Below are 12,776 nucleotides of genomic sequence, written 5' to 3'. Positions count from 1 at the left end.
GCACTTTGGGAGACTGAGGAAGGAGGATCACTTGAGCTCAGGAGTTCGAGACCAGCCTGGGCAACATGGTGAAACGCCATCTCTACAAAAAAATATGAAAATTAACTGGGCATGGTGATGTGCACCTGTAGTCCCAGCTACTCGGGAGGCTGAGGTGGGAGGATCACTTGAGCCTGGGAGGTTGAGGCTGCAGTGAGCCGTTATCATGCCACGGCACTCAGCCTGAGCAACAGAGCAAGACCCTGTCTCACAAAAACAAACAAAGAACCACTAATGATAAAAGAAAATAATGATAAATTAGACTTCATTAATATTGAACTCTTCATTTAGGAGAGGTAAAAGACAAGCCTCAGACTAGGAGACATTATGTTTTCAATATAGGTATCCAACTGATGGCTGATAGCCAGACGGAAGAGCTCCCAGGAACCTACAGGAACAAGACAGACAACCCAATTTTACAAATAGGCATCAGAACAACAGTTTAATGATGAGAACCCAACAAGAGTGGCCACTGGCCCTGCCTCCGGCAGGTGGCCTTCTCTTGGCCCAGACGGTCCAGGACACAAAGCATGAGCTTGGTCACAGCTTCTACTGCCTCTAGAGGGAGGGGAGAGAGGCGAGATCTAAATCAGGGTCTCCGGACAGGCCCCACAGGAAGCAAAAGACTCAAGAAACCAGGTCTGAGATATCTCACAGTGGTGGATTCCGAACTGTTGCCAGGGTTGGGGGAGGCCCTGGATGCCAAGTTTCCTCAAGTAGGAGCAGGATTTCTTGAGGAAGGGATGGGCCTTGGGCCTGAGCGCCACTGACAAAGAAGCTGCGTCAGGGAAGATGGGGAAACACCGGGGCACTAAGTCGTGTGGAGTAAGATTCTCCTGTGGCCACTGCAAACTGCCCCCCTCCACTGGCCAACGCTGGCTGACTCAAGATGCTCAATGCCATCTGGGGTCCTGTGTCTGAGGAAGCCCCCAGTGGGCAGCCCAGAGATGGGCCTCAGGAATTCCACCTTTTTTCACACTTCAGTTTTCATGATCAGTGAGGAAACAAAGGCACAGAAGGATTTCACATGACTTGCCCCAAATCCAAGAGCAAGCCAGTGGTGGAGCCAAGATTTAAGTCTAGGCAGCCTGACTCCAGAACCTTCTGTGGGAAGGACCATGCGAGCGCTGGGTTTACCAGAAACCATCTCTCCATGGCTCCAGAAACCATGTTTTAAAAGACTCCAGCCCACAGTAGTACTAAAATAGAAATAAAGCCAAATGGGCAGTTAGTGAAATATTTCTTAAATTTTTAGCCATAGACTTCTAGAACTAAAGGGACCTTGGACATCACTGAGCTCAAAATCATTGTTCACTGCTGTTCACAAAGGTCACCAGGATTTCCCGAAGGATCCCAACAGTATCAGCAAATCTGCAGACAGTGGAATCCATGCAGAAACAGACCCACTATCTTTTACGTGCAATGTGAAAATCCAAAGATCTTTCTCAACTGAAAGTCCTTCTTTTACAGTTAATTCATGGTTGATTCTTTGCACGCAAAAATCTGACCTCAATGGATATGAAGATGTTTTACACCAATTAGTGTGAATATTTACACAGTTTGCTGCAGAAATATCAATTAGTTTTATTAGAGGTGCTACCCTAGACGCAGTGGTATCCTGGAGCCAATCCATCCTGGCTCATGGGAGCCATTTGTTAAATATTCAGGAGTTTTGCAAGCCATTCAGTAGCTTGAAATTGGCTATGGTTGAAGTATGTATATCATAGAAATCAGAAAATACTGCAAATCAGGCTACTAAAAAAAATCTGGCCAATCTGGCTGGGCGCGGTGGCTCATGTCCATAATCCTAGCACTTTGGGTGGCTGAGGCGGGCAGATCACTTGAGCCCAGGAGTTTGAGACCAGCCTGGGCAACATGGTGAACCCCCCCTGTCTATAAAAATACAAAAATTAGCCGGGTGTGGCAGCGCACCCTGTAGTCTCAACTCTCAGGAGGCTGAGGTGGAAGGATTGCTTGAGCCTAGGAGCTTGAGGCTGCAGTGAGCTGAGATTGTGTCACTGCACTCCAGCCTGCAAGACAGAGCAAGACCTTGTCTCAAAAAAAAAAAAAAAAATTCTGAGAACCAGTTTGCCAGCACATCACTGCCCTACACTGTGCTGGAGGTGTTACATAACTTGGAATATAAGCCACTTTACCTTTGCAGTGAATTCCACTTAATTGAGTTCAGAAAAAAGGAGGCAACAGACTGCACTACATCAAATAGGTCAAAATAGCCAATAGACATGGAAAGGTATTCTACATCATTAATCATCAGGAAAATAAAAATTAACACCACAGTGAAATACCACTACACTCCCACCACAATGGCAAATGTTAAAAACTGTCAATGCCAAGTGCTGGGAAGGATGTAATCAGAATCCTCATATGCGGCTGGTGGGAGAGTAAATGGGCACAACCACCCTGGAAAACTTCGGCAGGGTCTACTAAAGCCAAACATCCATATATTCCATCACCCAGTAATTTCACTCTGGGGTATTTACCCTATAAAAATAAATGCAATGCTCACCAAAAGAAATATACAGGAATGCTCATGGAAACTTTATTCATCATAGTTCCTAACCAGAAATTACCCAAATGTAACTTGGAGACCTCATCAGGAGAATGGAAAACCCAACTGTGATATATTCATACAATGGAATACTACACAGAAATGAAAATAAAGACAGTATCACCACATGGGATAACATGAATGCATCTCACAGATATACATCAAGTTAAAGAATACTACAGTCAGGTAAGGTGGCTCATGCCTGTAATCCCAGCACACTTGGAAGCTGAGGCCAGAGGATCACTTGAGGCCAGCAGTTTGAGACCAGCCTGGGCAACATAGGGAAACCCCATCTCTACAAAAAATTTTTAAAAATTAGCCAGTGTGGTGGTGCATACCTGTAGTCCCAGCTACTTGGGAGGCTGAGGTGGGAGGATTGCTTGAGCCCAGGAGTTTGAAGCTGCAATGAACTGTGATTGTGCCACTGCACTCCAGCCTAGGTGACAGAGTGAGACCCTGTCTCGAAAACAAGAAAAGAAAATGTACTATATGGTTTCATTTGTATATCATTTCACAACTCATCAGTGATTTGGTAGAAGTTAGAATGGGGTTCCCTCTCGGGGTGCAGGTATACTGGAAAGGGAGATGAGGAAACTTTCTGCAGTGCTGAGAACGTTCTATATCTTGATCTGGATGATGGTTATGGGGATGTATATCCATTTAAAATGTACATTTAAGATTAATGCACTCTATTGTATGTTCCCCTCAATAACAATTCAATTTAAATGTTTTGCACTCTCCCTGGAAGAAAACACCTTCAGCCTGGTCCTCAGTGAAATTCCCATAGGTCCAACTGAAAATAAAAATAAAATTCAAAGCATCCAAGAGACATGCCACCCTGAGCAAAACAGAAGAAACAGCAAACAACAAAGTCAGATCCCCAAAGACTTCAGATATTGGTATTGTAGGATTCAAAATGTAAAATACAGTAAATATATTCCATGTGTTTACAGACAGAATAGAGGAGCTTGAAACAATGAATATGCAGTGAGGGATGCTACAGAAAGAACAGGCAGGTTTGAAAAAGAACCAAGCCAAACTTCCAGAAATAAAAAATATACAATAATTAGAATTTTTAACTCTTAGAAGTGTTAAACAACAGGTTGTTAACCTCAGCTGAAGAGAAAAAAAATGTGACTTGGAATCTGAAGAAATTGTCCAGAATACAGCAGAAAGAAATGGAGGGAAAACTAAGACAGACACAAAGGATAGATGAAAAAGGTCTGACAACCTCTACTTCGAGTTCCAAGAAGAGATAATTGAGAGAATGGGCGAAAGGTAGCATTCAAAGAACTTTCCAGAACTGATGAAAGACATGAACCCTCAGATTCAGGAGTCAAAATGAACCCTAAGGGAGATAAATTTAAAAAACAAACAACAGGTCGGACGCAGTGGCTCACATCTATAATCCCAGCACTTTGGGAGGCAGAGGCAGGCATTTTACTTGAGGTCAGAAGTTCGAAACCAGCCTGGCCAACATGGTGAAACCCCGTCTCTACTAAAAATACAAAAATTAGCTGGGCATGGTGGCACGTGCCTGTAGACCCAGCTACTCAGGAAGCTGAGGCAGGAGAATCGCTTGAACCTCAGAAGCAGAGGCTGCAGTGAGCCGAGGTCGCCACTGCACTCCAGCCTGGGCGACAGAACAAGACTCCATCTCAAAAAAGAAAAAAACAAAACAAAACAAAACAAAAAACAATAAAACGACACTATATATCCAGTGAAGAGCCCTTTCCAGCCCCAGGCAGACTTTATGGGGTGCAGAACCTAAGCCCTCTAGCTGACCCTGAGGAGAGCCATCTGCTCCTTCAACTTAAAACACTTGTGAGGCCATATATTGGGAATCTCAAGCCCAAAGTGGTAAATTTGCCCAATAACGGGGCCCTTGGTTCACTGTCTTCAGGCCTCCTCTGTGGTAGCCCCACCGTCCCAGAACTCAATAGAAGCCGGGTGGGGCTCAGCCTCCCTCTCTGGTCTCTGTACTTCCAGACTTTTCTTTTCCTGTTCAACCATCACACAGCAGCAGGAGCGATTTATTGAAAACACAACTCTGACCCTACCTCTCCTCTGCCTAATCCTCTCCACGGCTGCCCGCCACCTGCAGAATAGAGCCCAAGATCCCCTGGCTTGGTACCATAGGCCCTTTCAGATCAGCCCCGATGACACCTCCAGACTTATGTCCCTCCACTCCTGCCCTCCCACCCTGCTCTCCATTCTCTCCACACCCTGTGATCTTTCATCTCTCTGCATAACGTGCTGTTCCCTCCGCCTGGTGCGCCCTTCTCCTTCTTGAGTGTCTTGAGAATTTATGCTCATAAGCTTTAAGATTTTGTTTAAATGTCACACACTCACAAAGGCCTCCCTGCTGCTCTTTTTGCCCTCCTCACAGCAGTCATTTGCCCACAGTGCTTCTCCAGCTTGAATTTTTTATACTACACCATCATGGTCTGTTTATGTGTCTGTGCCACTGAACGTGCCATGCACTGTGAGTATATTGAGGGCAGGGACCAGGTCCTACTGTATCTGTGCTGCTGGGAGCCAGCCAGAGCACATCACAGAGAGGTGGGTCCCATGCCATCTAAAAGGTAGGAAAGTCAGCATGAACCATGAACAGTTAAAATTACCCTGTAAAATCCAATAAACTGCCCCAGAAATGCAGCTACGTGGTTTTGCTCTCACCCCAACCCCGCAATTAGTAACATGGCTCACCTCATACTCCTTCTGGGCCACACACCCATTGTACAAAAATGGCACGAAAAGTCAACTGTGCTTTTAAAATTCGTTTTCTGTCTTTCTTTATTGCTAAGAATATAATTGAACTCATGTAAATTAAATGTGCATATGGTTAACTGTACTACTGAATAAATGAAAAAAAACAGATGAATGGGAGAGTGGATGGGAAGATAGATTTATAGGTGGGTACATGCCTGAATAACAGTAAGAATCATACTAATGTTAATAAAAATTGATAATATTTATCGAGCTCTTTTTTATTTATTTTTATTTATTTACTTATTTATTTTTGAGACGGAGTCTCGATCTGTCGCCCAAACTGGAGTGCAGTGGCATGATCTCGGCTCACTGCAAGCTCCGCCTCCCGGGTTCACTCCATTCTCCTGCCTCAGCCTCCCGAGTAGCTGGGACTACAGGTGCCAGCCACCATGCCCAGCTAATTTTTTTGTATTTTTGGTAGAGACGGGGTTTCACTGTGTTAGCCAGGATGGTCTCGATCTCCTGACCTTGTGATCTGCCCACCTTGGCCTCCCAAAGTGCTGGGATTACAGGCGTGAGCCACCGTGCCAAGCCTATCGAGCTCTTAATATGTGCTGGGGACTTTACATTTATCAATTCATTGACTCCTCAAACAATCCCATGAGGTTTATATTACGATCCCCATTTTACAGATGAGGAAACTGAGTCATAGTGAAAGTGAATAAGATACATGGGTGGGTAGAATAAATGGATGGATGAAAGGATAGATGGATGGATAAATGGATAGATGGGTGATGGATGAATAGGTGGATGAATGGATGGATAGGTGGGTGGGTGGATGGAGGATGAATGGATAGGTGGGTAGATGGGTAGATGGATGGATGGATGGATGGATGTGTGGATTGATGAATAGATAGATGGGAGACCAGGTGGCCAGACTGATGGAGGGGTAGTAGGTAAATAAATAAAACAATGCTTGTTCCTCTGCGTCCAGCTGAACCTCTGCCTTGGTATCTCTGGCCTTGTTGCCTGGATCTCAGAAGTCAACCTCAATCCAAACTGCTCTCCCTGTCATCCATTCAGACTGGCTCTCATTCAATGCTGGCTGCCCCTCCACCCTTGAGGCAACAACTCACACCTGGGTAGCCAATTCCTCCCTACTGTTTTCGGTAGTTAATTATGTGGCCAAAGATGTCCTTAACAGTATCTCCAATTCCATATGTTATCCCATTGAGAGGTGAGGTCTGTGTCCCCCTCTCTGTAATTTGGGTGGACTTGTGACTCTTGCAGAAGTGATGCAAGGCTATGTGATTTCCAAAGTTAGGTCATAAAAGCGATTCAACTTCTACTTGGCTCTTTTGGGAAGAGAGCCCTTAGAACCCAGCTTGCCCTTAGAACTCAGCTGCCATACTGGGAGGAAGCCCAAACTAGCCCACAGGAAGAGACAGCACACAGGTAGCTGTTTCGGCTGACAGCCCAGCTGAGGTCCTACCTGACAGCCAGCATCAATCACCAGACACGTGGGTGATGATCCTCAGATGATTCCAGCTGCCAGCTGTCATGGTGCCGCCAGCTACTGAATCTTCCTAGGTGAGACACGAGGCATCATGGAGCTCACACCCCCACTGTGCCTTGTCCAAATTCTTGACCCACAGAGTCTGTAAACGTAGCAAAATTGTTAGTTTAAGCCACTAAGATTTAGACTGACTTTTTTTTTTTCCTGTAATAATAACAGGAACATCCTCCCATTAGCAGCCAGGCTCTGCCTTGACTACCTTTGGGGAGGTGGTTGGGAGGGTCTGGGCTTTGCTGAACCATGTATCAGTCCACATGGGAGGCCCACTGGGCACAGGGAGCAGGGCCTCTCCCGAGCCTCCCTTCCCTGACTCTTCAGGGTGAAATGAGGTCAGCTTCCAGGTGTCCTGGATTCCCTACAGACAGGGGTCACAGACCAGGCTTAGGCCCCCTGTAGATGAGGCAGGGCCTCGGAGCGGGAGCTTGACCCCAGCAAACGCTTGTTCTAGCTCCATCTGAGCCTGGCCTGGTTTGCTTCCAGGTTTTGTTCTTTTAAAAACTGGTTCACTCAGTGGGTATTTAAGACAAAAGCCACAGACCGTGGTCTGATGCGAGGGAAAAAATAGTATGGGGGGTTGGGAATCCGACAGATCTAGGTTGAAGCCCAGCTCTGCCACTTCCCAGCCATGTGGTCTTGTGAGTTGCATCAACTTTCAGGGCCTCTTCTCTGTGTGGGGATAAGAATAGCTACCTACCCCCATAACGGATTTGTTGTGATAAGAAATGAGATTCCAGCCTGGGCAACATGGTGAAACCCCATCTCTACAAAAAATACAAAAATTAGCTGGATGTGGTGGTGCGTGCCTGTAGTCTCAGCTACTTGGGAGGCTGAGGTGGGAGGACTGCTTGAGCCCAGGAGATTGAGGCTACAGTGAGCTATGATTGCACCACTGCACTCCAGCCTGGGCAACAGAGCAAGACCCTGTCTCAAAAAAACAAAACAAGGCTGGACACAATGGCTCACACCTATAATCCCAGCACTTTGGGAGGCCGAGGTGGGCAGATCACCTGAGGCCAGGAGTTCAAGACCAGCCTGGCCAACATGGTGAAACCCCGCCTCTACTAAAAATACAAAAATTAGCCGGGTATGGTGGTACACATCTATAATCCCAGCTACTTGGGAGACTGAGGCATGAGAATCGCTTGAACCTGGGAGGTGGAGGTTGCAGTGAGCTGAGATCGCACCACTGCACTCCAGCCTGGGTGACAGAGCGAGACTCCATCTCAAAATAAATAAATAAATAAACAAAACAAAACAAAACAAAAACAAGCAAACAAAAGGGAATGAGATAAACTATGGAAAGCACCCTACTCAGTGCCTTGCACACAGTAGTAGGAGCTTAATAAATGTCAGATGTTACCTTGTCTCCTTTCTGAGTAGTGTGATGATAGCCTATCTCTTTCATCCACAAGGCCTAACACGGTGCCTTATATGCCATAAGTGCTCAATAAATGCCTTAAATGAATGGATGAATTTACCAGAGTCCTCTGAAGTTCTTCACTCATCTCTAACCTTGATCCATGTGTTGATATGACTCTCTTCCCCAGTAGACTCAGACCTCCCCAGGGACAAGGATGGTTGCTATCTCATTCACCTGTTTTATCCTCAGCATACAGTAGGTGCTTAATTGGTGACTACCAAACAAATCAGGTGCCTCCCTGCTTCAGCACAGAGTCCTCAGTTCAGGATCTGCACCTGCTCCTGCGAAGCATTGAGGGGAGGCTTTCGATTTATCGTCAGCCTCTATTGACCAGAACCATCTGCTGACCACTGCTCCCCCGACCCTGACCCGACCAAGCCCCAGGTGCCCTCAGAGCTCATATGATGGATGCCCTCCCAGGAGTATCCACAGGTTTGGACACCTCTCAAAAATTCCTGCAGGACAATAAAGCACCTATAATTTTGGAGTGTGTCTTAGGTTGGGTTCCCCCAAGTGCAGATCCTGGGATGAGGAGTTGGGTGCAAGTAGTTTACTTGGAACAAGGGGAACGAGCCAGGAAAGGGAGGGAAGTGGAGACAGGAGCTGCCGCTGTGGGTGACTGTCTCATTGAGGTGCAAGGAAGTCCTTCTTGGCCGTCCCCCAGGCCCCTTGCTCGAGGGCAGCTCCGGGGGAATCGAGTCTTGGTACTTCTAGAGAAGTGGGCTCTGTGCAGAGTCTCGGGCTGAGAGTCACAGGGAGCCCTGGCAGGCACCTCTGGGAATGTGGGCAGGACACAGCAGCCTGTGCTACAATGTGATGTCCACAGGTGAGGGACAGCCAACAGTCATCGTTCCTCAGGGGCTCGAGGCAAGAGAGGCTCTGTGAACAACAGACAGCTCTGGTCCTTCACTGTCCACTCAAGAATGTAGGTGCATGGGGCCACACTGTCTCAGGGATAACTTTGAATCTGCTCTAATTGATCGTATTTAAAGTAACTCATTTGGGAATCTGGGACTTTAACAGTTATTTGTGTAAGAAACCTCAGTTCCCAGTGGAGGGGGTGGAAACCACTGTGCCACGGAGATAATGATGATCCCCAAATGCCCTCTCGCTCTTCAAAGACAGATTCCTTAGATCTAATCTGCAGCCAGTGGGCTGCAGGTTCCAGCCCCTCTGGTCTTGCTGAAAATCCAGAGCCTCCCAAATTACAAGAGCAAGGAGTTCTTCCAGGGCCTCCCAGGCTGTAGCTCCTTGGTTGGCCCAGAGGTTTCTGCAGCTGTCTCTAGATGTTCCCTCCAGAAGCCAGGTCTCTGCCTCACCTCTTAGCGGCCACCTATGAATTGAGGCTCCTTGACTATTTCTAGACTTTTTTCTTTTCTTTCTTTCTTTCTTTTTCTTTCTTTCTTTCTTTCTTTCTTTCTTTCTTTCTTTCTTTCTTTTCTTTCTCTCTTTCTTTCTTTTCCTTTTCTTTTCTTTCTTCTCCTTCTCCTTTTCCTTCTCATCACCACACATGGCTAATTTTTGTATTTTTAGTAGAGACTGGGCTTCACCATGTTGCCCAGGCTGGTCTCCAACTCCTAGCCTTAAATGAACCACCCACCTCTGCCTCCCAAAGTGCTGGGATTACAAGCATGAGCCACCACGCCCGGCCTAGATTTTTTCTATATTAATTTAAGGAAGAACCACCTCTGAGTAACAGAGTTGGTACATAACAGTGATAATAACAAAGATAATAATATTAATACTTGTCTCCTTGAATCCTTTTTAGAGCAAGGCAGAACATAGAGAAAGCAAGGCAGAACATAGAGAAAATAGTATCTAATGTTTTAGCATTTTGCAGCTTACGAAAGGCTGTCTCACATACTAGTAATTTATTGAACACTATGAAATTAACAAGACAGACAGTCCCTATCCTCATGGAGCCCATATTCTGGTAAGAAAGATGGACAAGAGAGAAGCAGTTACAGTGAAGTGTAAGTAGCAGCATTTGATGAGTATTTGCCAAGCACCAAGCACTGTGCTAAGTTCTTTATGTGAACTGCCTTATTCAATCCTTAAGCAATGCTTTGAAGTGATAGGGTCTTGTCCCCAATATACAAATGGAGAAACTGAGGCACAGAGAAGGTAAGCAATCTGCCTGAGAGCACACAGCTGGCAAGAGAATTTCGTACCCACGATTCTCTGATTCCAAAACCCAAGGATCCAGGCTGGCTCATCCCTTGGCTCGCTACACCTCAGTTTCTCCATCTGTAAAATGCGAGTAAATAATAATACCCCGCCTGGTCCCGCCCATGGCATGTCATGAGGATTAACCAAGACAGTGACAGAAACACTGTAAATGGCCAAGAGTAAGCTGCTGTTTTTCTCACTCCTGGCTGAGGCTCTGGCCTTTCGTTCCTGCTCCTCACCCCTGAAGGCCATCTGTTCATGGCATGGGCTGCAGCCACCCGGCAGGCCTCCCGGTTCCCAGGGAAATCCCGGTCTGCCCTCACCAGCTCTCTAATGACAACATGGTTCCGTGGCGTCCGTGCTGATTTAATTATAGATTAATCAGGAGACCCAGGCAGGAGCTCTTCTCTTTTCCCCAGCAAGCTGGAATGTGACCCCTGTGTGCACACACACATGTGAGGGACAGAGGTAAGGCCCTTCTGGCTCCCACCTTGGGGGATGGCTGATGTAAGTTGGGACCCCCTCACCTGGGGCTCAGGAATCTCCCAGCCTCCACCTGGCTGACCTCTCCCAACCTGCGTTCCCATCACCAGCCTTTGCCTTTGCTGTCCCTTAGACCCCAAATATCCATCTTACTCCATCCAATCTTGTTACAGCCACATTTTCAAGGTTCGGCCTAAATGCTGCCTCCTACAGGAAACCTTCCCTGATGCCCAGCTGCGATGATTTCCTCCCCTTCTGAACCCCCAGGCAATTGATCTGGCCTCATCTGAAGGCCCTGACCACTCCGTAGCCTGGACTCACCTCTCTGATGGGATGTAGTCCCCCTGAGGACAGGGCGATGTCCCCAGAGCCCAGCATGGGCTTGGCAACAGTAAAATAACAGAATGAATAATTGAAGGGAGTGATCAACCTAGAAGTTCCCAAGGGCCAGAAGAACCTGGAGTCTAGAGCCCTGCCTCCTTCCAGAGCCCCAGCCTCCCTGCTGGCCCCTGGTGGGGGCTGCACACCCTGGACGATCCCAGGGGCCCTTCCTGAGAGACCAGACTGCATCCTCTGGTCCCTCCTGCCTTTTGGGAACTGCCCTCCTGACCCTCACTTGAGGGGAGGAGCTCGTATCACAGTCAGCAAAGGCTGGACAGAAATAGCCCACAGCCTCATCACCAGAGGAGACTCATGCCCCAGCCCACCACCCCGTTTCTCCAGGAACCAGAGCCACGATGAACCACTGCTCAGCAGGAACGACAATGACAACAGGGAGCTACACTGAATACCCACTGTGATCATTTATGTGTATTCTCTTAATCTTCCAGTGACCCAGGGCAGGGGACATTATTTTCCCCTTTTGCAGATGAGTAAACTGAGAAGTGAAGTGATTTTATCAGCAATGGCAGAGAAAGATGTTAGCACAGTTTGGCTCCAGAGCCTCCACCTAGGGACACCCCCCACCCCCTACCCACAGGTGCTGTACCCTACAACCGCTCTCTGGCTGCAGCCTGGGCCCTTGACCTCTGACCCCCGGTTGCCCTTGCAGCAGGTGGGACCCGGGGACCAGGCAGCGCACTGCCCACTATTGCCCGGCATTCTGGGGGCGGCATGAATGAACCGACTCATGAATATGCAGGCAGGCCGGGCTGCGGAGCGCTCTCAGCTAAATCTGATCACAATGCGGGATAAATTAAGCGGCAGGATAAATGCATTAAAAATAACGGTCGGAGGAACAGGCTGTTCAAGGAGGGGTCTGGGGAGGAGGGGAGAGGCACAGTGGGGGAAGTTCCACCAGGCACTGCCAGCCGCTCCCAAACAGCCCCAAATGAAGTTCCCTTCCGTGGGGGAGGACCCTCTCCCCATCTCCACCCTCCCCTGGTTCCTATGGAAACGCAGAGCAAGTTTAGGAGGGAAAATGCCTAGAGATGAGGGAAATGGGGAGGGACTAAGAATAGCAGCTGGGCTGGGGCTGGGGCTGGGGACAGGTGCAGACAGGGTCTCTTTCCTGACACGGGTGAGGAGAGGACCTGGGCCAGGCCAGGCTCCCCACACCCCCGCAGGCTTCCAGTAGCATCAGGAGAGGGGCAGTGGGGGAGAGAACCACGTTCTGCCAGCCCCAGGGTCGAATACAGATGGTGTCCCTGGGTAATGGCAGCAATAATAACAGCAGCTACGTCTCCATGGAGCGTTTGTTCAGGGCCCCACAAAGGGAGGCAGGCACTGGGGAATCTCTCTTTCTACAGGCAGAGAAGTGCAGCCCAGAGGTATGCGGCGACTCGCCCAGCAACACACAGCTGGGACCG

This window comes from Homo sapiens, chromosome 20 (assembly GCF_000001405.40).
Source record: "Homo sapiens chromosome 20, GRCh38.p14 Primary Assembly".
NCBI classification, from domain to species: Eukaryota; Metazoa; Chordata; class Mammalia; order Primates; family Hominidae; genus Homo; species Homo sapiens.
The sequence above is the reverse complement of the archived record's forward strand: the minus strand, read 5'-3'. Positions refer to the sequence as shown.